At 49.5% G+C, this 23701-nt stretch overlaps 1 protein-coding gene across 23 annotated transcripts in view, besides 15 other annotated features; it reads right to left on the bottom strand.

Moving 5' to 3' along the window:
• DNMT3B (DNA methyltransferase 3 beta) overlaps positions 1-23701 on the bottom strand; it is a 46972-nt gene that overhangs the window by 6615 nt on the left and 16656 nt on the right. For 3 of the 23 annotated variants that reach the window (NM_006892.4, NM_001424351.1, NM_001424355.1), the window contains exons 2-20: positions 22277-22424; positions 21328-21389; positions 17883-17984; positions 16115-16240; positions 15291-15512; positions 13730-13888; positions 11034-11141; positions 9972-10116; positions 9147-9206; positions 7208-7333; positions 7048-7092; positions 5873-5952; positions 5443-5555; positions 4099-4282; positions 3414-3498; positions 2444-2589; positions 1817-1907; positions 1316-1464; positions 272-357 (exon numbers count right to left, since the gene is read on the bottom strand). In NM_006892.4, coding sequence (NP_008823.1) covers positions 272-357; positions 1316-1464; positions 1817-1907; positions 2444-2589; positions 3414-3498; positions 4099-4282; positions 5443-5555; positions 5873-5952; positions 7048-7092; positions 7208-7333; positions 9147-9206; positions 9972-10116; positions 11034-11141; positions 13730-13888; positions 15291-15512; positions 16115-16240; positions 17883-17984; positions 21328-21389; positions 22277-22418 — 2231 coding nt within the window. In that variant the 5' untranslated portion in view covers positions 22419-22424. Of the gene's footprint in view, positions 1-271; positions 358-1315; positions 1465-1816; positions 1908-2443; positions 2590-3413; positions 3499-4098; positions 4283-5442; positions 5556-5872; positions 5953-7047; positions 7093-7207; positions 7334-9146; positions 9207-9971; positions 10117-11033; positions 11142-13729; positions 13889-15290; positions 15513-16114; positions 16241-17882; positions 17985-21327; positions 21390-22276; positions 22425-22596; positions 22891-23701 lie in introns of those variants that run through there. The other 20 variants (NM_175850.3, XM_047439949.1, NM_001424359.1 and 17 more) reach the window with 10 other exon arrangements.
• Positions 596-1399: an enhancer, noted in NCBI's record as "H3K27ac hESC enhancer chr20:31389149-31389952 (GRCh37/hg19 assembly coordinates)". NCBI's record gives its function as "activates a minimal SCP1, AML or CMV promoter by ChIP-STARR-seq in primed H9 embryonic stem cells {active_cell/tissue: H9 hESC(primed)}" and the evidence as "EXISTENCE:reporter gene assay evidence [ECO:0000049][PMID:30033119]".
• Positions 1400-2203: an enhancer, noted in NCBI's record as "H3K27ac hESC enhancer chr20:31388345-31389148 (GRCh37/hg19 assembly coordinates)". NCBI's record gives its function as "activates a minimal SCP1, AML or CMV promoter by ChIP-STARR-seq in naive H9 embryonic stem cells {active_cell/tissue: H9 hESC(naive)}" and the evidence as "EXISTENCE:reporter gene assay evidence [ECO:0000049][PMID:30033119]".
• Positions 3126-3627: an enhancer, noted in NCBI's record as "OCT4 hESC enhancer chr20:31386921-31387422 (GRCh37/hg19 assembly coordinates)". NCBI's record gives its function as "activates a minimal SCP1, AML or CMV promoter by ChIP-STARR-seq in primed H9 embryonic stem cells {active_cell/tissue: H9 hESC(primed)}" and the evidence as "EXISTENCE:reporter gene assay evidence [ECO:0000049][PMID:30033119]".
• Positions 3126-4556: a biological region, named in NCBI's record as "CDK7 strongly-dependent group 2 enhancer GRCh37_chr20:31385992-31387191".
• Positions 3357-4556: an enhancer, noted in NCBI's record as "CDK7 strongly-dependent group 2 enhancer chr20:31385992-31387191 (GRCh37/hg19 assembly coordinates)". NCBI's record gives its function as "activates an origin of replication core promoter dependent on BRD2, BRD4, P300/CBP, MED14 and CDK7 cofactors, with strong dependence on CDK7, by STARR-seq in HCT116 cells {active_cell/tissue: HCT116}" and the evidence as "EXISTENCE:reporter gene assay evidence [ECO:0000049][PMID:35650434]".
• Positions 11576-12505: an enhancer, noted in NCBI's record as "OCT4-H3K27ac hESC enhancer chr20:31378043-31378972 (GRCh37/hg19 assembly coordinates)". NCBI's record gives its function as "activates a minimal SCP1, AML or CMV promoter by ChIP-STARR-seq in primed H9 embryonic stem cells {active_cell/tissue: H9 hESC(primed)}" and the evidence as "EXISTENCE:reporter gene assay evidence [ECO:0000049][PMID:30033119]".
• Positions 12274-12413: an enhancer, noted in NCBI's record as "active region_17724". NCBI's record gives its function as "activates an Ori minimal core promoter by ATAC-STARR-seq in GM12878 lymphoblastoid cells {active_cell/tissue: GM12878}" and the evidence as "EXISTENCE:reporter gene assay evidence [ECO:0000049][PMID:35858748]".
• Positions 12506-13437: an enhancer, noted in NCBI's record as "H3K27ac hESC enhancer chr20:31377111-31378042 (GRCh37/hg19 assembly coordinates)". NCBI's record gives its function as "activates a minimal SCP1, AML or CMV promoter by ChIP-STARR-seq in primed H9 embryonic stem cells {active_cell/tissue: H9 hESC(primed)}" and the evidence as "EXISTENCE:reporter gene assay evidence [ECO:0000049][PMID:30033119]".
• Positions 14427-15097: an enhancer, noted in NCBI's record as "NANOG-H3K4me1 hESC enhancer chr20:31375451-31376121 (GRCh37/hg19 assembly coordinates)". NCBI's record gives its function as "activates a minimal SCP1, AML or CMV promoter by ChIP-STARR-seq in naive H9 embryonic stem cells {active_cell/tissue: H9 hESC(naive)}" and the evidence as "EXISTENCE:reporter gene assay evidence [ECO:0000049][PMID:30033119]".
• Positions 15098-15769: an enhancer, noted in NCBI's record as "H3K4me1 hESC enhancer chr20:31374779-31375450 (GRCh37/hg19 assembly coordinates)". NCBI's record gives its function as "activates a minimal SCP1, AML or CMV promoter by ChIP-STARR-seq in naive H9 embryonic stem cells {active_cell/tissue: H9 hESC(naive)}" and the evidence as "EXISTENCE:reporter gene assay evidence [ECO:0000049][PMID:30033119]".
• Positions 20675-21675: an enhancer, noted in NCBI's record as "OCT4-NANOG-H3K27ac-H3K4me1 hESC enhancer chr20:31368873-31369873 (GRCh37/hg19 assembly coordinates)". NCBI's record gives its function as "activates a minimal SCP1, AML or CMV promoter by ChIP-STARR-seq in naive H9 embryonic stem cells {active_cell/tissue: H9 hESC(naive)}" and the evidence as "EXISTENCE:reporter gene assay evidence [ECO:0000049][PMID:30033119]".
• Positions 21676-22176: an enhancer, noted in NCBI's record as "OCT4-NANOG-H3K27ac-H3K4me1 hESC enhancer chr20:31368372-31368872 (GRCh37/hg19 assembly coordinates)". NCBI's record gives its function as "activates a minimal SCP1, AML or CMV promoter by ChIP-STARR-seq in naive and primed H9 embryonic stem cells {active_cell/tissue: H9 hESC(naive and primed)}" and the evidence as "EXISTENCE:reporter gene assay evidence [ECO:0000049][PMID:30033119]".
• Positions 22177-22678: an enhancer, noted in NCBI's record as "H3K27ac-H3K4me1 hESC enhancer chr20:31367870-31368371 (GRCh37/hg19 assembly coordinates)". NCBI's record gives its function as "activates a minimal SCP1, AML or CMV promoter by ChIP-STARR-seq in naive H9 embryonic stem cells {active_cell/tissue: H9 hESC(naive)}" and the evidence as "EXISTENCE:reporter gene assay evidence [ECO:0000049][PMID:30033119]".
• Positions 22679-23179: an enhancer, noted in NCBI's record as "H3K27ac-H3K4me1 hESC enhancer chr20:31367369-31367869 (GRCh37/hg19 assembly coordinates)". NCBI's record gives its function as "activates a minimal SCP1, AML or CMV promoter by ChIP-STARR-seq in naive and primed H9 embryonic stem cells {active_cell/tissue: H9 hESC(naive and primed)}" and the evidence as "EXISTENCE:reporter gene assay evidence [ECO:0000049][PMID:30033119]".
• Positions 23180-23680: an enhancer, noted in NCBI's record as "H3K4me1 hESC enhancer chr20:31366868-31367368 (GRCh37/hg19 assembly coordinates)". NCBI's record gives its function as "activates a minimal SCP1, AML or CMV promoter by ChIP-STARR-seq in naive and primed H9 embryonic stem cells {active_cell/tissue: H9 hESC(naive and primed)}" and the evidence as "EXISTENCE:reporter gene assay evidence [ECO:0000049][PMID:30033119]".

Raw genomic sequence — 23701 nt, 5'->3', positions numbered from 1 at the left:
AGGCGTGAGCCACCACACCCAGCCACGTGGGACTTTTAGGATCAGGTCCATCAGCAGCTTACAACAGGTAAGAGTGGGACTCCTACAGAGATTCCCAGGTACTTGCTGAACATCTTAACAGAGATCAACCCGCACGACCACAGGTGGTCTGAAATCCAAGTATAACTATTTCTCAGCAGAGCCAGGTCTTTCTAGGAAGGCTTGAATGTCAGAGCTTGTTATCACATATTTAACTTGGCTGTTACCTGACCCACTAAGAGCCCTTTGTTACCTGTTCATCCCGGGTAGGTTGCCCCAGAAGTATCGGGCCCTGTGAGCAGCAGAAACTTTGATGGCATCAATCATCACTGGATTACACTGTGGGGAGAAAGAAGGTTACTGTTAGGAGCCTATTATTAGAGTTTCAGTGTCAACCAGACCTTTGCAGGTGACAGGGCTATTCCCTGACTATGGATGAGGCACGGATCCTCCAAAACAGGAAAGACCTACTGCCATCAGGAGGCTGGCTAGAGGACATGGTAAATGCCCTCATACTATGCTAATGGTAGCTAAAGAGATAAGGTCAAACCTGCAGATTCTGAGACGGTATCCCCTGGGATACGCCAGATTATTACAAAATATGATACACCGTGGGCTCAAGTGATCCTCCAACCTCAGCCTCCCAAAATGCTAGGACTGCAGACATGAGCCACTGTGCCTGGTCTAAAGCAGTTTTCATATCAAAAATGAGAAAACTCTCTAGAGTAAAAAATTGAGTCAAATCTCATGAGTCCTTAACAGCAGATGATGGTTTGTTTCATCATTTCTGACTTCAAAGAGTTGGGCTGAGATTAGAGATCAATTATTTTCCTTGTACTGGCAGGGGATGGTGGCTCACATCTCTATCTCCAATCCCAACACGTTGGGAGGTGGGCGGATTGCTTGAGCCCAGGAGTTCAAGACTAGGGTGTGCAACATACCAAGACCCTGTCTCTACCAAAAATACAAAAATTGGCTGGGCACGGTGGTGTGCCCCTGTAGTCCCAGCCATTTGGGAGGCTGAGGTAGGAGGATTGCCTGAGCCCAGCTGTTTGAGGCTCCAGTGAGCTGTAATAATGCCACTGTACTTCAGCCTGGGTGACAGAGCAAGACCCTGTCTCAAAAAAAATATTTTCCATGTACTAAGAGAACCCACTGAATCCCTCACTATTGGATCTAGCCAGACCAAGAACGGGAAAGTCATTCCCAATGTTGGCAACACCCACCAATCATCACTGCCAGCAGCGCTTTCCCTGCCCTGGCTGTCTGTGACAATCAGGTCCCCAGATTCCCTCACCTCCAGGAACCGTGAGATGTCCCTCTTGTCGCCAACCTTCATGGCTACAACATTCTCAAACATCCAGAAGAACGGCCGGTCATCACCCTCCTTGGGGCGTGAGTAATTCAGCAGGTGGTAAAATTCGAAGAAGAGCCGGCCTGTACCCTCTGTGCTCAGAAAAGATGACAGCGCAGGGTTCATTTGAAACCTCCAGCCCAACCCACCTTATTCCCTGAGACCAGCAGGTTCCCAATGGCCTCCTGACAGTTCAGGGTGATGCCTACCAGTCTATGTCCACCTGAATGACAGCAGGGACACAGGCAGCAGCAGGGCACTATTTACTAGGGTATTTCCCTTGTGGGCTGAGGATTTACTATGGAGCGTAGGCAGCACCAACAGGCCCCTGATGCTGCCAGTAACTTGGCCAGAAGCAAGTGGCTCCTTCTCAGGCTGCTGCACCTGGGCCAGTGGTCAGGTGACATAGGCTCTCCAGGGACTGCCAGAGAGAAGGATGCTCACCATACAGGCCTTTCCTGGCTGGATTCACATTTGAGAGATCGTTGCATGGGCTTCCGCCAATCACCAAGTCAAATGGGCCCCATTCTTCAATCTGAAAGAGAGAGACAGAGTCAGGATGAGGGTGTGGACAGAGGGAAAGAGAGCTGGACCCACTTCTAGAATCTTGCGTGGGGCTGGACGAGGTGGCTCACACCTGTAATCCCAGGAAGGCTGACGGCGGGGGTGGATTACCTGAGGTCAGGAGTTCGAGACCAGCTTGGCCAACATGGAGAAACCCCAACTCTACTAGAAATATAAAAATTAGCCCAGCATGGTGGCAGGTGCCTGTAATCCCAGCACTTTGGGAGGCTGAGGCAAGAGAATCGCTTAAACCCGGGAGGCAGAGGTTACAGTGAGCTGAGATCATGCCACTGCACTCCAGAGGGAGACTGTCTCCAGAAAAAAATAGAATCTTGCTTGGTCACCAACTCCACTTCTGACCCTAACCTAATGCTTAAGATTCCCACAGGATTTCAATCCTTTTTTCTGGGGTCTCAGGGATGGGGCCTACATGTGGGTTTCAGGGTGTGGAGGACTGGGGAAAAAGACAGGAAGAGATGAGGCCCGCAAGGTACAGACTGCCCTCACATTTTTCTTTGTGATGTTCCTCACGTCGTTCACGTATTTGATATTCCCCTCGTGCTTCACGGTTCCAACAGCAATGGACTCCTCACACACTTCAGAAGCGACGTACTTTCCTACCTTTATGCCCAACTCTTTGAGGACTAGGTAGCCTGTGGGGGCCAGAGAGACACAGAAGCATAAATGATGCTGAGCACACAGCAGCTCATTTCCTCCACTCCCTGCTATGGTAAAATGAACAGTTCCTCATGACTGTATCACATGCGTTCAATCCAGCAAAGGCTGTACACGCACCACACATATTGGCTGTGTAAACTCCATATAGGAGGAAAAGAAGGGAACCAAAACCAGAGGTAGCAGTAGTTGTTAACTAGTTTATCTCCAATTATACTTATGCATGTGGAATGAAAATCAAGTTCAAGATAACTGCACATAAAAAATAAAGTGTAACAGCTAAGATGTATGTCCTTTTAAAATGACCAAGACTGCCCAGGCACGGTGGTTCATGTCTCTAATCCCAGCGGTTTGGGATGCCAAGGTGGGCAGATCACTTGAGGTCAGGAATTCGAGACCAACCTGACCAACGTGGAGAAACCCCGTCTCTACGAAAAATATAAAAATTAGCTGGGCGTGGTGGTGAGCACCTGTAATCCCAGCTACTTGGGAGGCTGAGGAGAGAATCACTTGAACCTCGGAGATGGGGGCTGCAGTGAGCACAGATCACGCCATTGCACTCTAACCTGGGTGACAAAGGGAGACTCCATCTCGAAAAAATAAATAAATAAAACTCAATGACCAAGACTGCAAGGTGGTTGAGAAGGTGGAGAGAAACAAGGAGACAGGGTTTTTTTCAGGGCTGGTAATCCCCAGGGACCTTTCTTGCCACTGATGTCAGACACCTTAACCATGCCTTCTGACTCCCTGGCTACCCTGTTGTGACACGATAGCAGTGTCTCCAGGTGTTCCCCGAACTCACCTGTCGCGATGCCATCAAACAATGACAGGACTCGAATGGGCCGCCTTCGGGCTGCGGGAATGGCAGGGTACAGCTTGGGGGCTTCCTGCCAGGTAAGGAAGGAGGTCATGGTGGTGAAGGCACAGGGCAAAGACTCAAGCTCTGAGGGAGGGGCAGGCTGACCCTGCTCAGAGGGCTTCAAACCTTGCCGTAGCCACTGCAAAAAGCCCACTGAAGGCTTGATGGGGATTGGGGAGACAAGTGTGTACCACACGAGCCTGCATTTGGCAAGGAATGGTCAATTTATCCTTGGACATGAGCCAGATATGTATGCACAGAGGCACACATGAAAAGGTATCACCCCAGACAGGAATGACCTAGGGCTTCCCTCTAAGAACTAGAAAATTCATTTCTACTGTTTCCTTCCCTCTCAGCTCTGCTAACTCAGAAGGCTACATACAACCATTTCTTCATCAGGCCCCTGAAAATCCATACGCTGAGAAGCCGGCAAGGAGGGAGTGAATGAACCCTGGCACGGCTGAAAACCGTGCAGAGGAGCTGGCAATTCGCCAGGTCTCTCAGCCATTGAGGCTCCAAGAGGTACAACGTGTCTTTACTTCTATTACTCTTTCTGAGAATTCCAGAGCTTTCCAACACCCTGTGCCCCTGGGATCTGTGGTGGTAGAGGCGGGAGCCTGTGGCTTACATATTCAAGCCCCGTGTCACTGGTGAAGAAGGCCTGCAGGCGCACGTTCCAGTCCTTCCGGCGCCGCAGGACGCCATGACAGCGCTGCGGGAGACACATGTAACAGCTCCAGGGCTCCTGAAGCTTGGCCTCGGCCGCTGTGCCTGTGCCCACCAGCACCTCCAGGCACTCCACACAGAAACACCTGGACCCAGTGGCAGGGAGAAGGGATGCCTTTGTCAGAGCTGGTCTCCTGTGCCACCCCCTTACCACTTCCACAGGGAAATGCCAACCCCCTCCTGAAAGCTTACCTAGGATCGGCTGCTTAACAGCATAGCCTGCGGGGCCCTGTGCAGTACGGGCTTCCCTGACGTCTTCCTTGGATGCCCCAACCCCCTTAATCCCACAGGCTCTCTGATCAGAAATGCTCTCCCGACAACCTACTTCATTCCATGGACACTTTGGATTACAGGCCAACTGGCAAACCAGGGAATTAGCCTTCCCTGACACCCTACTCATCCCCTTCCCTCATGCTCTTGGCCTATTAAGAGCACTTCTAGCTGGGTGTGGTGGCTCACACCTACAACTCTGGGGCTTTGGGAGGCTGAGGTAGGAGAATGGCTTGACCCCAGGGATTTGAGACCAGCCGAGGCAGCGTTTATTACACTTTTTATTTATTACAAAAAATAGGCCAGGCACGGTGGATCATGACTGTAATCCCAGAACTTTGGGAGTGCTGGGATTTGAGAGGCTGGGGCAGGTGGATCACCTGAGGTCAGGAGTTCGAGACAAGCCTGGTCAACATGGTGAAACCCTGTCTGTACTAAAAACACAAAAATTATCTGGGCGTGGTGCTCCGCACTTATAATTCCAGCTACTTGGGAGGCTGAGGCACGAGAATTGCTTGTACCCTGGAGGCAGAGGTTGCAGTGAGCCAAGATTGTGCCACTGCATTCCAGCCTGGGTGACAGAGCAAGACTCCACCTCAAAAAAAAAAAAGAATAACTAGCTGGGTGTGATGGCATGTGCCTATAATCAAGCTGTTCAGGAGGCTGAGGTGGGAGGATTGCTTGAGCACAGGAATTGGAGGCTGCAGTGACCTATGATCATGTCACTGTACACCCTGGGCAACACAGGGAGACCCTGTCTCAAAAAAAAGAGCCGTTCCCTATACATGAGTTCTACTCCAATTATGCTACAACCACAGCCACCACAAAATATAAACCCTGTGTGCTGCTTCCAGGGCAAATTAGCTCCCTATTCCCATGCCTAGGATTCCATTCAACAGACAGCTGTCTGCAGACTGCAGGAACGTAGGAGCCTTGGGGGCCCACCCACATCCACCCCACAGGGCCCAGTGCTCACCGGCAGCAGCTCGTGTTGCTGCAAAGCAGCAGCTCTCGGCCCTCGCAGCACACAGTGCAGTAAGACTGATAGCCATCGTCATCATACATGTAAAACAGCTCAAGGAAGCGATCCTGGCAGCCAGAGAGAAACACCAGTGAAATCGGAGACCAGAGAAGGGCAGGCCCTGCCGGCTTGCTGGTGGAGGCCCTAGGATACAGCTGCAGAACACACTGCTGGTGGCTTGGTGTCCTTTAAAAGGACAACTGGCTGTGACCTGCGTGCCATTGGCCTCTGTGACAGCTGTCCCCCATCCTGCCCCAGAGGCAGAGTGCAAGGCAGCTGGGATGAGTGGGCTTCACTGAGTCTCCACACAGGTGCTGTTGGGAAGGAGAGGGGAGTTAGAGGAGGCAAGGGGAGGAAGGTCCAGGGCAGTAGTAGGAGGACTTACCCGGCATGTCTGACAGAGCCCCCCCTCAAAGAGAGGGTGGAAGGACACGGGGTTTTTCCTGCCACAAGACAAACAGCCATCTGTAAGAAAAACAGGGTTGTGGCTTTTGGCAGTTGAGGCCCTGACACCAGCTGCTAAAGCCTGGGGTCTCTCAGTTCCTAAGATTTCCCTCCAGGCCAGCAGCTTGCCAAGGACTCTTTGCACCTCAGGCCATGCCTCACAGCTTCTACCACTCAACAATGCTTCCAGGTGGCATCCCTACTTCACAGATGGGGAACATCAAGATGGGCAAGGGGCTGCCCCAGTAGGATGATGTCAGGCAGAACGCTGAGCAGGGGGACCTCCCTGGTGTGACAATCCTTGAGAAGCTTTAAATACTGGGACACTAAGGATTTTGTGGTGACTCCAATTGGCTTGTTGTCTCATGATAGGACTTGCCCATGCCCACACCCTGTAAACAGCAAATGGCTGTAATTTCAGAATCCAGGTCCTTTAACCAGTAGGCAACCCTGCCTTCCCTTCATATCACCAGGTCAGCATGGAGTTGCATCCCTGGCTGGGTAGATAGGACCTTTATAAAACCCACAAACAAGCATCCCTACCTAGCCAGATGGGGGAGTGAGTCTTGGGGAATAGGATTTCTAAACCGAAGCTCTTCCCCGGGTTCTCTGGGTCAGGGATGTGGTGTTTTCCTATTCAACATTGAGTAACTAGGGGTTAAGGAAGCAAGGGAGACTTCATCCTCACACATTCTGTATTCCATGAGGTATATTCTGATCAGAGTATCCAATCCAGTGGCAATCCCCAGCCAGGGCAAGCAGAGTATTTAGCCTGACAGTAGGCAAGTGACTAAAAGCTTGTTAGTTGCAGTTCTTCTTTGGGAAGGTTCATGATACCAGTAATCTTGGTTTTAGGTTATGGCTCTCCCGGCCAAAATGGCCCAGCTTCCCTTGTTCCTCACCATACCCTTCCTGTACCTTTCTCTTAAGGGGCACAATTGGCAACTCATTCCATAAACTAGCAACTAAGATGCAGGGTCCAGAAATAGGCCTTGGCCTGAGGTTAAGGAACAGAGCTCTGGGTTAAACCCTGACAGGGTGGATGAGCCAGGACAAGGCAGGCCTAGAGCCCTAGCCAGGGTGTGAGGGGGATGACTGGGAGGGAGAGAACGTTACCTTCCAGGCTGCTCTTGTTGTTGGCAACATCTGAAGCCATTTGTTCTATTGAGAAAAGAAGAAGGCATGAGATGAGGTCAGGGAGCCGGGTACAGATCAATTCCTGATCTGCAGCGTCCTCCTCCCATCTGTCCCATGATCCCAGGTACCCAACAATCACCTCGGCTCTGATCTTCATCCCCTCGGTCTTTGCCGTTGTTATAGCAATTTGTCTTGAGGCGCTTGGGTGCGGGGCAGTAGTCAGAGGTGGCTGAGTCGTCAGCTGTGCGTCTTCGAGTCTTGTTCTCTGTGAAAGGTAATTAGACTGCAGCCGTGGCTTGGTAGGAGGGTCCAGAGAGAATGCGGGCCCAGGACAAGACCATGCTATGCCTGGGTACCAGCTGCAATTGGGGCATGACAGGGGGTCCACACTGAATGTATATGGCCCCTTGATGGGCAACTCACAACAGGAGCTCATTCAAAACCCCTTGCACCCAGGATCCTTAACACATGTTTACAAGGTTTTAAATGGCTACAACTAGGATGTAAAAATGACTCAGCTCAGAGAGCAAAGCTCGATTCAAAGCTAAAAGCCTGGCATACCCATGTCTGTGATATCTGACATGCTGGGCAGTAGGCATAGGGGGTGGCTACTGAGAACTTGAAACTGTTGAGGAAATGAATTCTGCATTTAAGGTTAATTAAAACACTGACAAGTAAGTCAACTAACTGGCTCATTAAGACTAGCCTAGACATATGAGTCTGCTTTCTCAAATGCACGTTTTATGAATTTAGTTAATTTGTGTTTAACCATCTACATCTGTATTTAGTCAAGAATCTGTATATAGTTAATACAGATCAAGTATTTTCATTGCAAATTTAGCATCAAAATTGAGATCTGTAAAATATGTAATATGTAAAATATATAAAATAAGTGAAATTTTGAAACCAGCACTATAAATGTAGACTATCTCAGTTTTTATAATAGCTGGATATTAAAATGCTAACATCTTGGAAATTTAGCGCTAAAAAAATCATGATTTGTATTAATTTCACCTGTTCCTTTCTTGTTGCCCAGGCTGGAGGGCAATGACGTGGATCTTGGCTCACTGCAACCTCCGCCTCCTGGATTCAAGAAATTCTCCTGCCTCAGCCTGTTACAGGCATGCAGCACCACACCTGGCTAATTTTTGTATTTTAGTAGAGACGGGGTTTCATCATGCTGGCCAGGCTGGTGAACTCCCGACCACAAGGGATCTGCCTGCCTCAGCCTCCCAAAGTGCTGGGATTACAGGCATGAGCCACTGCACCTGGCCTCGTTTTTTTCTTTCTTTTTTGTTTCTGTTTTGGTTTTTTTTTTTTTTTTTTTTTTTGAGACAGGTTCTCAGTGTGTCACCCAGGCTGGAGTGCAGTGGCATGATCTTAGCAAACTGCAGCCTGACTTCCTGGGCTCAGGTGATCCTCCCACCTCAGCCTCCACAGGCACACACCACCTCACCCAGCTAATTTTGTATTTCTCTTAGAAACAGGGTTACATCCTGTTGCCCAGGCTGGTCTTGGAACTCCTGAGCTCAAGCAATCTGCCCACCTCAGCGTCCCAAAATGCTGGGAAATCCAAGAGATGGTTATTTGCATCCCAAAATGCTGGGATTATAAGCGTGAGCCACTGAGCCCAGCACTTTTTAATTTTACATAATATGGCTCCCATTCTATAAATGGGATTTTGTAAAACCCATTTGTATTTCTATTCCATCTACACAGAAAATCTTAATGGACATGGTTAAATTTGACTCTGACCCTAGGAAAGAAAATTGTACAGCCATTAAAAATCTTAAGGACCCTTTAGTGACAAAATGACATCAGACAGTGCTTACAGTATTAATATTAATAAAGGGGAAAGCAGGAATCCAACTAGTGTTCAGAAAAATCTGGAAGGATGTGCAACCCAACGTTAACCTGGAGGGTATTTGTGAGGGTGGGATGTGAGGGGAGAGTGGGGAGGGAGTTCAGATTGACTTTTCAAGAAATTTGATTCTTTTCCAGTGACCATTTTATATGCAAAGAAATCAGAAGAAAGTGCATAGAAAACAGGGCACAGTCAAAAGACAGGAAGGAAATACCGTATTTCCTTGATTCTAATTTCCTACTGCCTGCACGACGCACCTTCGACTTATTAACCACTTTTGAGGGGAAAACAAAACAAAACAGAAAAAACATTACATTAAATGTATGGACTGTTTTCTTTTTTGAGACAAGGTCTTGCTCTGTCACCCAGGCTTGAATGCAGTGGTGCGATCTCGGCGCACTGCAACCTCTGCCTCCTGGGCTCAAGCCAATTCTCCCACCTCAGCCTCCCGGGTAGCTGGGACCACAGGCACATGCCAAGCACACCAGGCTAATTTTTCTATTTTTCACCATGTTGTCCAGGTGATCGCCTCAAGTGATCCACTCGCCTCAGCCTCCCAGAGTGCTGCGATTACAGGCATGAGCCACTAGGCCTGGCCTTTAAATCTATGGATTGTAAGACAAGTCCTGGATTTCTAGAAACCAGAGTTATCTTATAATGGGAGAAATATGGTACTGGTCAAAATGTTAGCAGGTGGCATATTCTTCTTTAACACTTTCCAATTTTCTCAAATGAGCATAGCTTAACTATTTTTTCCTTTAATAAAAAAGGTGCTAGTCAACACTGCATCCTGACTTCAAGACAGATGTCAGATTCAATACAAATTATATGCACGTGACCATCAGCAAGAAAGTGGCCGGGGAAGCCAGATAGAGCTGGCACAGCCTTCGTATGCCTGCTCCTATTTTTCCAACATTCAGAGTTGAGACCAGCTGCTAGAAAGCTGGGTGGGGTGTGGGGCAGCAGGGGTGGCTGACTCTCCCAAGAAGTGGTCCCACCAGCAGAGGCAGCGGGTGCTGCCATGGGGACTCATTCCCACCTGGTTGCGTGTTGTTGGGTTTGAGGCCCTCGATCCCAGTGGGCTTGAAGCCCCCGTGGGCCCACTCCAACATGGGCTTCAGCTGGTCCTCCAATGAGTCTCCAGGGCTGCTGGGGAAGGTCTTGCCAGCTCGCACCCTAGCTTTCTGCAAAGGCAGAGTCTGTGATGAATGGGGGGGTGGGGAGGAGGTGCTCGCCAGGCCACACCCAGGGATTCCCCCAGCCAGGGCCTACATTCCCCTTCACACTGGGCCCTTTCATAGCCAGACAGCTGTCCTGGGCTGTGGTATGTGACAGAGGAAGGAGGGGCCTGTGCAGGGAGAGGCCTCGGAAGGGGGGTTGTGGTTAAATCTTTTCATGCAGGCACCAAATAGGATCTCTTCCCCCTAGGGAATGTCAGTGGTCACCTCCCACTCAAAAGGCAGACATATCAGAATTAACTCTACCACCAAGATATAGAAGCCCCAGCCAGCACTATCTCATCTCCTCTGTATCTTATATAAGGCGGCACTAGATTTCTTGTTTTATCTCCCTAAAGATGGGGACATTAACTTGTGTCCTACATGAAGGACCAAGGATTTCAGTGTCTAATGAAGCCTTTAGCAATGAGAAGAGGTTGGCTCTTAAATGCTGAACAAAGGTGGGGGGAAAAAATCAAGGTGAAGGGAGAAACAGGGTATAATGGTTCATAGGGGATAAGACGGCCCACAGATAGAAGACAGCTGGCCTCCACTGCTGTCTTGCTGTGAACTCCAACCCTCATAAGAAGGCTCTGAGGTCTCTGGAAAAGCACATTCACTGATACGAATATTGCACCCCTAACTGCCCGTGCTCTTTCCTTCTGATTCAGTTAGTGGTCCCAATAAGTGGCAGCTGGGATGTCTCAAATCCCTTTGTTGGGAGGCCCAATCCGGTGGCCATCATGTTATGTTGTCATTTACCTCCTCCCTGGCCACCCTGTCCCCTCCAAACCACCCTTGGCAACACTGAGCTAGGTTTCTGTGGGTCTCTTGCTTCATCCCTGCTCTCAGGGCTTAGCCCTCATTCCCTCATCCCATGTTACCTCCAGAGCATGGTACATGGCTTTTCGATAGGAGACGAGCTTATTGAAGGTGGCCAAATTAAAGTGCTGGCTGAACAGCCCCAGTGCCACCAGTTTGTCTGCAGAGACCTAAAAGAGAAAGACATCATCAACATCCACCTACAGGTGTGTCCCAGGTGCCATGTCTATCACAATGTTGTCCATCAGATGCAGAAGATTTTCACACACTTTAACCAAGAGACCATTCCTGGGGATAAAGTCCACAGACATCTATTTGAAAGGAAGGAAAGAAAAAAGCAGAAAAATAGAAATGGCAGAGTCTCAACACACAGATATCCAGAACCTTGTTAGGTACGACACTTCCACTGTGGAAAAGGAGGATACTCTGAATGAAGGCAATTAGGCGAACCCTGTGTTTGTATACATTTTCCAAGCAGGTGTCCCTGGTGTGGACCCCTGAGGCTCAGTCCTAATATTCTCTGTGGCTGCTCCAGCATTGAGGGTTTGCACATATTCCTTCTTTCCTAAGCATGATAATTGTTTACTCTTTACCCTTTTATTAAAATGAGTTCACCTAATGAATGTGTTTAGAAAACAGTGCTCGACACAGCACCTTTCACTTGTTGTGATTATTTAACTTTAGTTCTTGTGATTTAATCCATATTCCACAAGTCTCCTGATGTACCAAGTCCCTGGACCAAGCATGAACTGACTGAGTTGCCAGTGAGAGAGAAAATGGCCATTCAGGGATGCTAATCAGAACTGAAAGGCCAGACGTAGTGGCTCAGGCCTATATTCCCAGCACTTTGGGAGTGGGAGTTGAGAGGATCGCTTGAGCCCAGGAGTTCGACTAGCCTGGACAACACAGCAAGACCCCATCTCTACAAAAACTTTTAAGAGCCAAACACAGTGGTGTGCACCTGCAGTCTCAGCTGCTCTGTTAAGGCAGAAGGATTGCTTGAGCCCAGGTGATTGAGGCTGCAGTGAGCCAAGACAGTGCCACTGCACTCCAGCCTGGGTGACAGTGAGGACCTCATCTCTTAAAAAAAAAAAGGAACTGAAAGACACAGGGAATGTTCTAGTCTCCGTAAAGAGTGCTCACACTCATGCAAACCTCCATTTTATCACGGAATGCCTGATTTCCTATATGGGGGTGTGACCACCACTGGGGAGAAAACACTGTGGCTCTGGTGGGGGGAAACCGCTCCAACACAAGTGCTGGTTCCAGCGCCCAATAGCTCCAATACAACCCAAACAGCGTACACATGCTGAGCAGGCACTTGCCCAGGCCAGACCCAGGTCCCATATTGTCATCTCATCCCCTAATGCTGACAGCCCCACACTGCATTGTATTAGCCTCAGACTCTATCTTGCAAAGTGCATTTTATGTCTCGATGGGGCAAAGCAATTGCAAACAATCCATCTTCCTTCACTTGAGTTACTGCTCTCCCATCCCTGGAAGCAGCTGCCTCACTGCCAGCATGGGCCCAGGACTTGTCCTCCCTCTGCTGGTCACAGCAGGCAACTGCATGCAGGGGCTCTCCTACAAAGGAGACTCCACACCCAATATATTATTGTAGCCCTTGGGAAACTTCAATTAGCTCATGGCAAATGGCCCCATGGTAGCTCAATTCCTGGGAAAAACAGAATCTCTGCTTGAGCTGAATCCCAGGAATGTACAGTCCTTCCTTCAATCCTGCCTGGCTTGCTTCTGCTGCAACTTGCCCAATGACCTTAGGCACCTAACTTAGCCTCTCTCAGGGCTCTGAGGGTAGGACTAACATTTACTTCTAAGAGACCATCACAGGATAGGTCTGTCTGATTAAAATCTTTGTTGAGGCCAGGCGTGGTGGCTCCCGCCTGTAATCCCAGCACTGGGAGGCCGAGGCGGGTGGATCATCTGAGGTCAGGAGTTGGAGACCAGCCTGGCCAACATGGTGAAACCCAGTCTGTACTAAAAATGCAAATATTAGCAGGGTGCGGTGGCAGGTGCCTGTAACCCCAGCCACTCAGGAGGCTGAGGCAGGAGAATTGTTTGAACCTGGGAGGCGGAGGTTGCAGTGAGCCAAGATCGCACCACTGCACTCCAGTCTGGGCAACAGAGTGAGACTCCATTCTCACCGCCCCCAAAAAAATCTTTGTTGAAAGAGTGTAAGAATCAAAACAGCCTAGTTATGCCCAACACAGCTCTTCCCCAGCTAAATGTCATTACCAAGAAAGATTTTAAAAGGCTAGAATCAATCATCAAGAGACTCTGAAATACCCAATTCTACTAAAAACCCTTTTCACAACTGATACCAGGTGACCCTAAACCCAACTCCATGCCTTTCTCTCCCCAGGGCTAAATGACAAGAGGCCGCGGCCATGCTTCCGGTCTCTTCCAGGCTTCTCCACTGAACACTTTTGGGTACTTGCTCACGTGGCCACTCCTGGCCCCTCAGAGTCCACACTGATGATTCTGCCCCCAAAAGATAAATCTAAGAAATAACATAAAATCCAACTGCCCATGGATCCAGAACTTTCTAGCACTTTTGTCCCCCGTGTGAGTGGAATCTGCTGTAGCTGGTTAACACAGGAAGTTTTGTCCTTCCTCCCAGACAGTGTGAAGGCATAGGCTCACACATCTGCAGAATACAATCCCAGGCCTTTGTCTTCAAAGGGAGGCAGGCAGGCACAGCCTCAGGCCTGCAGAACCCCTTGCCCTTCCCCGGACTCACCTCGGAGAACTTGCCATCGCCAAACCACTGGACCCACCGCATGCCAGACATAGCCTGTCGCTTGGAGGTGGCCTTCCAAGACACCACCATGGCGGGCCACCAGGAGAAGCCCTTGATCTTTCCCCACACGAGGTCCCCTATTCCAAACTCCTTCCCATCCTGGAAGAAAACCCACATGAAGAAATCCCAGTGAGGAGAGGCCATCCTGGGCCAAGTCCTGTCCACTCCACTGTCCCTGAGGGCAACAAAAAGCTTGCCATAAAATGCAAGATGTAGCCAGACACCGTGGTTCATGCCTGTAATTCTCAGTACTTTGGGAGACCGAGGCAGGGGGATCGCTTGAGGCCAGGAGTTGGATACCAGCCCGGGCAACACAGCAAGACTCCATTTCCACAAAAGAATTTATAAAGTAGCTGGGCTTGGTGGTGCACGCCTGTAGTCCTAGCTACTCAGGAGGCTGAGATAGGAGGATCGCTTGAGGCCAGGAGTTTGAGACTAGCCTGGGCACCATAGTGAGATCCCTTCTATACAAAGTAAAATGTAATAATGGACATAGAAAAAAGGGATCCTAACAACACATAAATACATACATGTGTAAGGAGTCTTCGTGCAGCAATGCTTGAATAAGCATAAACAACCTGAATCGGTTAATTAAGCTATGACCCAGACCACTGGATTTATTATCCAGACATGAACCTCAGGCAACTCTAGTTCTTAATAGAAGAAAAAAGCAAGTCTACAAAGGTATCATACGTACAATATATACAGTATGTGCACTCTGATGAACAGAATCACAATATGTATTGTCAGGCCTCTGAGCCCAAGCCAAGCCATCGCATCCCCTGTGACTTGCACGCATCCCCTGTGACTTGCACGTTTAAGCCCAGATGGCCTGAAGTAACTGAAGAATCACAAAAGAAGTGAATATGCCCTGCCCCACCTTAACTGATGACATTCCACCATAAAAGAAGTATAAATGGCCGGTCCTTGCCTTAAGTGATGACATTACCTTGTGAAATCCCTTTTCCTGGCTCCTCGTGGCTCAAAAAACTCCCCCACTGAGCACCTTGAGACCCCCACTCCTGCCCGCCAGAGAACAAACCCCCTTTGACTGTAATTTTCCTTTACCTACCCAAATCTTAGAAAATGGCCCCACCCCTATCTCCCTTCGCTGACTCTCTTTTGGACTCAGCCCACCTGCACTCAGGTGAAATAAACAGCTTTATTGCTCACACAAAGCCTGTTTGGTGGTCTCTTCACACGGGCGTACATGAAATGTATAACGTACGCAGTTGCAGTCCTTACATAAATGTCATGTTGGGAAAAACCACAGTATTCACGTGGTAAATACTGGCATTTGACTTATGTCTGGGAGAGGATTAAGGTAAAGAAAGGTCCGTGGTGCATATGGAAGATACTTAGAATTCAAACATGTCAATTATTACAATTACGAAACTTCTAACAACTGTTGTCGCTCTGTTACCAACAGTAGCAGGTAACTGGTTTTTCCCCGTGTTCAGGGTCCTCAGTCACCCTGGGCAGGAGCCCCTCTCGGCCATACCTGATACTCTGAACTGTCTCCATCTCCACTGTCTGCCTCCACCTGCGGGGACTCCATGCCCCCCTGCTGGCTGTCCTGGGCTAGGCGGGCGTAGGGGGTACTGCTGCTCTGGGGCGTCCCATGTGTGTCCTCTGTGTCGTCTGTGAGGTCGATGGTAAGGTAAGAGCTGGGAGGGGACGGCCATGGCGTTCCTGCCGATGCTGTTGCCCGCCGTCTCAGGGACTGTGGACAGAAGGACACATAGTTTGGGCCAGAGCAAAGGATGTCGGTGACCAGAGACCAACGGCACCCCCATATGGCTCCTAGGCAAAAAGAAAGAGGAAAGACTGAAGTTAAAGAGAACAGAGACCGCTGAAGAAACTTTTCCAGGAACACGTATCCCTTAAGGGGGGAGAAAGTCATTGTAACTGTCCCAGAGACAGAAAGATGACAAAGGCACAAATGATGGGTAATGACGAGGGACTCTCAGAGAGTGAAATGTTGCCATACCCGCTAGGGTTGCCTCAAGACAGGTGAAGAAGACATGAGGGAGAAGACAGTTCTGGATGTCAGTGTTTTCTACCTTGTTTCCAAGTTAGAGCAAGAACCAAGTCAACAGGGAAAGCTTCCATTCCCAACAGAGTGTCATCTGAGATCAGACCAGGAGAGAAGCCAACAGGCTTACGGGAAGCTTACCCAGGAGAGAAAAGAAAAAGCAAGAACCTGAAAAGCAGTGTGAAAAAAGGACACAGATTATCTACCAGCCACAACCAGTAGTGCAGTGAGTGAGGCATATCTCCCAGTTAGAGACTGCGGGCAGGGGTCTGGGCATCTGGGGAACCAACCCTGGTAGCCGGGAACTCCACGGGGGACTCGTCCACATGGTTGCGGCCCTGCCGGCCTCGGGTGGAACGTGGGGAAGGCCTGTGCCTCTCCCGGCTGGAGACACTGTTGTTATTTCGAGTTCGGACCTAGAAGCAAGAGAGGACACTCACTGGGCCTTAGGTGACTGGAGGCCTGGGGTCTGGCGGGGCCAGAAGGATTAGGCCTTCAGGTGGCCAAGGAGACCTGGTAGCCAGCTTCAGGACAACTGGAAGTGAACAGGTGATGAGGTGGGACTCTGGACTGAGTCCAGCCAGAATTCCCCAGTTCTTGGAATAGAGGTGGTAGGGTGGCCAGCTAGGATGCCCGACAATTCCCAGCAGGTCCTGCTCTGCCTGTCACAGCAGACAGACATGGCCAGCTGAAATGGCACCTGCCAATTGGGATTGAAAAATAAAAATCTGGCCAAGCGCAGTGGCTCGCTCATGCCTGTGATCCCAGCACTTTGGGAGGCCAAGGCGGGCAGATCACTTGCAATCAGAAATTCAGGATCATCCTGGATAAAATGGTGAAACCCCATCTCTACTAAAAATGCAAAAATTAGCCAGGCATGGTGGTGGGTGCCTGTAGTCACAGCTACTCAGGAGGCTGAGGCAGGAGAATCACTTGGACCAGGGAGGCAGAGGTTGCAGTGTGCTGAGATCACGTCACTGCACTCCAGCCTGGGCAACACAGTGAGACTGCATCTCAAAAAAAAAGAAAAAAAAAGAAAGAAAGAAAGAAAGAAAAATTCGTGTTCACTCTAAAATAAACTTTTATGTCAAAGAAGCATAAGGCCAATTACTGGGTTCAGGAAGGCACCAGATCATCAAGATGGAATAGAATTCCTTAGGCTCCATGTTCATTGTCAAAAATGGCATGAATTTGGTTGTTGCAGAACCTGTGTCCAAATTATGCATAGAAGAGTTGATGTTTAACCTCAGTTAAGTTGCTGGAATCTTCTCTCATCTCCACAAAGGGGATGATACAGACCATATCCTGGGAAGGGAAGACTGTAACCCACACCTGGGATAGTAACTGTCAGTCTGGTCTCTAAAGGGCTGGGTGACCATAAGCAATAACTGCCTTCCCATTGCCATACCTCAAAACTCTGAGGCACAAAATCCACCCACAGAAATGGTGGACTCCCTAGGTCATTAGCAGCTGAGCCATCCACCCTGCAAACTCTATCACCCCTAGGCACCTCCAAGAGTGTTACAAGAAAGAACTTAAAAACCACCTGAAAGAAATGGCACATAGAGAAAACCTTCCAGCCGGGCGCAGTGGCTCACACCTGAAATCCCAGCACTTTAGGAGGCCAAGGTGGGTGGATCACCTGAGGTCAAGAGTTCGAGACCAGCCTGGCCAACATGGTAAAACTTCATCTCTACTGAAAATACAAAAACTGGCCGGGTGTGGTGGTAGGTGCGTGTAGTCCCAGCTACTTGGGAGGCTGTGGCAGGAGAATCACTTGGACCAAGGAGGCAGAGGTTGTTGCAGTGAGCTAAGATCACGCCATTGCACGCCAGCCTGGGCAACACAGTGAGACTCCGTCTCAGAAAAAAAAAAAGAAAAAAGAAAACCCTCCAACAATAGTCCAAGAGCCTTGCTTATATTTTCTAGTTTCAAAACATTTTTTCATCACTTTCTCTTAAAAGCTCCCCTAAGGAGCTATGCTATGTATGTAGCATGCTATGTATGCTATGTAGAGTGTTGGCCACAAGTGCTTTGGCTCGAGGTGTGGCTACTTACAGCTGGGCTTTCTGAACGAGTCCTGGTTTCCCGGAAGAGCTTTGGCATGACTGGGGTGTCAGAGCCATCCCCATCTTCCCCGTCGCCATCGCCTGTCAAGTCCTTTATAAGGAAACATGATGAACATGATGAAGACCCCAGGGTATCAGCAAGTCAAAGAAACAAGGCACCTGCAATATGAAAGACTGATCGCCTGTGCCTGGCAGGGAGACCGGGTCACTCATCACAACACACTGCATATGGGTGCAGACACAGACCAACCACGACAGATGCCCCGGAAGCAATGGCATGAAACCTGCACCATGTCATCAGGGCTTCCTCGTGCAGGCCTCACACCTCACACCAAAACCCAGCATAAGCCAAACACAAAAGCTGAAGCAGCGAGCAGCTAGGTCTGGCTGGAGTGTTAAGCACTTGCCTTCACTCACCAACTGTGTGGCTTTGAGTCCATTTCCCTCATTTTAAAATTGGAATAACAGTACTTCCCTCATAGCACAACAGGGTTACATCAAGAATCAAATAATATGCAGGGTGTGGTGGCTCATACCTGTAATCCCAACACTTTGGGAGTCTGGGGCAGACTGAGGTCACCTGAGGTCACCAGACCAGCCTGGCCAAGATGGTGAAACCCCATCTCTACTAAGAATACAAAAATTAGGCCAGGCGTGTAATCCCAACACTTTGGGAGGCCGACGCGGGTGGATCACCTGAGGTCAGGAGTTCAAGACCAGCCTGGCCAATATGGCGAAACCCTGTCTCTACTAAAAATACAAAAATTAGCAGGGCATGGTGGCATGTGCCTGTAATTCCAGCTACTCATACTCAGGAGGCTGAGGCAGGAGTACCGCTTAAACCTGGGAGGTGGAGGTTACAGCGAGCCGAGATCGCGCCACCGCACTCTAGCTTGGGGAACAAGAGTAAGACTCCATCTCAAAAAAAAAAAAAAATACAAATACAAATACAAAAGTTAGCTGGGCATGGTGGTGCACGCCTGTAAGCCCAGCTACTTGGGAGGCTGAGGCAGGAAAATTACTTGAACCTGGGAGGCGGAGGTTGCAGTGAGCCGAGATCGTGCCATTGCACTCCAGCCTGGGCGACAGACTGGAGACTCTGTCTCAAAACAAAACAAACAAACAAAAAGAAACGTGTGGGCAAGAGATTTCATTACTGTTTCTGGTAACTAGCTACCAGAAACAAAACAGCAGTGCTGAGCCTCTGATCCTGCAGCTGCCCTAATTCCTCCCAGGGCTTAGGTTCCCCACCTTCTGAGTCCCCTAAGTAGGTTGGCCACCACCAAGAGAATGGAAGCTGAGGGTGAGTTTTCATTGCCCAGGACTTTTATGACTGATACTGGCTCTGAGCAAAACCAACCCAATTGACAAACTCTACTAAGAATAATTAGGAAACAGACGGTGTCAGTAAAGGAAGGAACACAAAACAAGATGGGAAAGATCCAACCTTGGAAAAGTAAATGAAGTAGAAAGCTTGATAATGTAGCAAGTCTTAGAAGATATAATTGTTTGAAATTCATTAAAATAAGCTTAGACAAGTTTCTTCCAGCTTGTAAAAAAAATTCCTTGAGCCCACCTAATCCTAACATCAAAACCATAGATATATTTAAAGAAATAAAATGGGCCAGGTATGGTGGCTCACACTTGTAATCCCAGCACTTTGGGAGGCCGGGACAGGTGGCTCACTTGAGGCCAGGAGTTCGAGACCAGCCTGGCCAACATGGTGAAACCCCATCTCTACTAAAAATACAAAAAAATTGGCTGGGTATGGTGGTCCATTGCCTGTAGTCCCAGCTACTCGGGAGCCTGAGGCAGGGGAATCGCTTGGGCCTGGGAGGCAGTAAGTTGCAGTGAGCAGAGATCATGCCATTGCACTCCAGCCTGGGCAACAGACTTCATCTCAAAAATAAATGAATAAAAAAAAATACCCATTTCATTCATGAATACATGAATAAAATCAACTTCAAAATGCACCATAACCAAGTTGGACTCATTCCAGGAATAAAAAGACAGTTTGCTATACAGTAGTCTCCCCTTATCCAGGGGGGATACATGCAAGACCCCCCATGGCTGCCTGACACCTTGGAAGATGGAACCCTATATGTGCTCTGTTTTTGTCTATATCTACATACCTATGATAAAGTTTAATTTATAAATTAGGCACAGATTAACAACTAATAATAAAATAGAGCAATTACAATATACTGTTAATAAAAGCCATATGAATGTGGTTTCTCTCTCAAAATATCTTCTTGTACTCTATTCAGGGTTAATCTGTCCTTCCATGGTTTATGACCTAGTGTCTTCCTCCTTTGCACTTTTATGAAGGTAGGTTCTATTAGACATCATCTTCTGGAGGAGTCTGGTTTCACTGCAGTCTTAGTTTTGGATTGTTTCCTTTCTCAATCAACTTCAACTCTTCTGAAAATGTAGCAGCAGGTTTTTCATTGGCAAATGCAGCCTCTCCAGTCATTTTTATAGTTTTCAGTAGAAACCTATTCTTGAATCTATGTAACCATCCCTTACTTGAAGTAAATGGTTTGGTGTCAGGGGATCCCTTGCTATAGGCTCAATGCTCCCTGGCACAAAGCACTGCTGTCAATCAGAACATATTTCTGTTCATGTCTTCCACCTACAAATTTAATGCCTTTCCCATCTTAACTACACACTTATCACACAACATGGCCATAACTTTTGCAGTTTGAGGTGCAACAGTAAAACTAGCATGCATTTATTTTTCCTTCTTCATGATTTCACGGCTGGAAGATTTGTTCTTACCACAGATCTAACAACTTCAGCATATGATTTCTTCTTTCCTTTTTGAGAACTTTCACTTTTTCACTTAAAGGAAACACTTCATGGCTTCTCTTTGGCATAACTGAATTGCCAGCGTCATCACTCCTGCACTTTGGAGCCGTTATTAAGTAAAACAAGCACTACTTGAACACAACCACTGTGATACTGCAACTGATCTGATCACGGAGACGGCTACAAGTGACTAACAGGCAGGTAGCACCTAAGCATAGAGATGTTGGACAAAGACAGGACTGATCCTGGGCAGGACGGAGCAGGACAGTGCAAGATTCCATCATGCTACCAGAATGGCACTCAATTTAAAATGTATAAATTGTTTATTTCTGGGATTTACCATTTAATATTTTCCATTTAATACTTTCAGACGGCAGTTGACTGCAAGCAACTGAAATCGTGGAAAGCAAAATGACAGATAAGAGGGGACTACCATATTAGAGATTTAGCAATGTAACTGATCGTCCAGATTGAAAAAATAATGCCAAATATATGCAGAAAGCATCTAGCTCGGCAACCCTCCATACATTTGCAGATGCCAGTTTTTATGGGCCTCAGGCAGCCCACGTGATGAAAGCCAAAGACAAAGTCCCTGAGCCCTGAAAAAGGGAGAGCAGAGACCATACCTGTGTGTAGCTTAGCAGACTGGACACCTCCCTCTTGGAGAGTCGCGAGCTTGATCTTCGGCCTGTAGAGGAAACAGCCAGGAGTCTGTTTTGTGGGGGCAGGCACCAGTCTGGGGAACGGCCTTGCTAATAGGGGCTTTTCTCCGTGGCGTGGCCTGGGATCTCCCCTACACTATTGTCAGCCACAGGGATTTGCTCTCAGTCCGTCAGTATCGTTCATCTTCTCCACTGATTTTATTCCTAAGACAACAGAGCCCTGGGCCAGGCACGTGACAGGACCCAAACCAACACTGAAGTTACCAAGGGGAGCCCTCCGATTCCTTCCAGCAGGGTGCTGCCCATCCAGGGACCACTAACTACATTTCCAGGAACAATTCACTGCCTGCTGTGTCAGCCGCTTCTCAAGTGCTCCCATGTAGAGTGTGGCTATTGTGGGGAACAATGCAGAAATAGAACCCTTTCACGCTCGCAGGAAGTTCCATGGGATGGCACAGCTGAGAGGACAATGCAGGGCTTTCCAACCCAGCTGGGGCGGGATCCCAAGTGAGCTGGCTGGAGCTGCTCAGGGCAGGGTGGAAAGGAAGCACACTCCAGACCTCCCCCTCCCAACCCCAGCCCAGCTCTGAGTGGGGAGAGGGTCCCACTGCAGAAGGGCTCTCCAAGGGCCCATGCTGAGACCACCCCTGTCATGACTGGCAGAGGACAGGGAACCATCACCCTTGTGTCACGCTCAGAGTCCCAGCTGAGATGAGAGTCCCAAAGGGGAGGCCAAGGGCTGCGGGCAGGTGTGAAGGGCTCGACCCTGCATCCCTCCTTGCTAGAGCTCTCTTCCCTCCCGGGGAATTGTGGTGGAGGTTGTCAGAGACTCTCCCCAAAGCCTCCAGTTGTCTGCAGTGACCGCTCACTATGTCAGCGCCTGACACCACCCCAGTCCCCACTGCCCAGCCACCTCTGATCTCCGGGGTGCGGATAGCCTCCAGGATTGGGGGCGAGTCGGAGGACTGGTCGCTGCAGGCCCCGTTGACGAGGATCGAGTCTTCCCTCCCGCCGGCGTCCTCCTCTCCATTGAGATGCCTGGTGTCTCCCTTCATGCTTTCCTGTGGGAGAAGCCAGAATGGGTGGGGTGAAAGGGAAGCAGGGACATGAGAGGGACAGTGTTCCCCCGCCATGGGCTCTGTGTTCTCAGGCCAAGGCCCCAGGATGCATTCTTAGGGTGATGCTCTTGCCCAAGTACCCCACCCAGGCTGCCCCCCATAGCCTCCCCCTCACCAAGCTTGGAGGCTCAGGACTTGGTTCCATGTGGACAGGCTGTCCCGAAGGCTCAGACGCCAGCACCCAGGACAGAGTGGGGAGGCCAGGGCTGGGGTCTCAGGCTCAGACTGCTCTGTGCAATTAGCCGGCCCCTTCAAACAATGCCATTTAGGACCTGCCTGTCCCGGCCCGTCTGCCGCCAGCCTCTGTCCCCTCTGGCCCTGGCCCCCTCTCCCTGCTCAGCCTCTGCAGGGGCTCAGGAAGCCAGTGCATTATTTTCCCTCCTGACCCCTTTGTTTGCTCTCTCCCTTCCCCTCAATCTCCAGGTCCTCTTCCCACCCACCCCCTCCTCCCCCACAGAACCGCTTCTCTCCTCTCCATGGCAGCACAAGCCCCGCCTCACCCCATCCTCCAGGGCCCATTGGTCTGCTGGCCTGTCGCTCACTCCCCTCCTCCCTCACCAGCTGGGGCTCAGAGTCCCAAGTTCCCAAGGAGGGAAGGATGGAGGCACAGGCAGAAAGCCTGGGGGCAGTTACCAGGAGGGGGACTCCCCAGATCCATTGTAGCCTCACCCTCACCTCTGGGACTTGGCCTCCCCACTGCTGCCCCTCCTGGTCAGGTAAATCAGCTAACACACAGGGCCAGGGCCATACGGATGGGTTGGCAGGCTATAACCTCTGGGCTGGCCCATTGCCTGCAACATTATGGGCACACAGATTTTGTTGGATGCAACAACCTGTATCTCCCCCTAGGGAGACTGGGGAGCTCACCTTCTAGAAAAAGAAAACTGACATCCAGACTAGGTTATTCTCCAAGGTCATATAGCCCATCTAAGAGGTAGGGCCAGGATTAGATAGAGAACGAGTAAAAAACTTCAGGGCATAAATCCCCGCTGAAACCGAGTTTTCCAAGTCACTTGCCTTTGCTTTTTGTTCCACCTTTGGTTGGCAAAAATATTATAAAAGCCTAGGCATAATGAGACCTCCAGGCCCCCATCCCTGAACCACAAACAGCTCCAGGTCACTCACACCACACCCTTGTGTCCTGGAACCGTGCCTGGGAAAAGCTTCCCCAATAAGCTGCTGCCATATGCACCGGGCCTCCCTGCCTCGGGCTCCATCGT

The sequence above is a fragment of the Homo sapiens genome, chromosome 20 (assembly GCF_000001405.40).
Source record: "Homo sapiens chromosome 20, GRCh38.p14 Primary Assembly".
In the NCBI taxonomy this organism is placed as follows: domain Eukaryota; kingdom Metazoa; phylum Chordata; class Mammalia; order Primates; family Hominidae; genus Homo; species Homo sapiens.
This window is presented reverse-complemented; position numbering and strand designations above follow the sequence as displayed.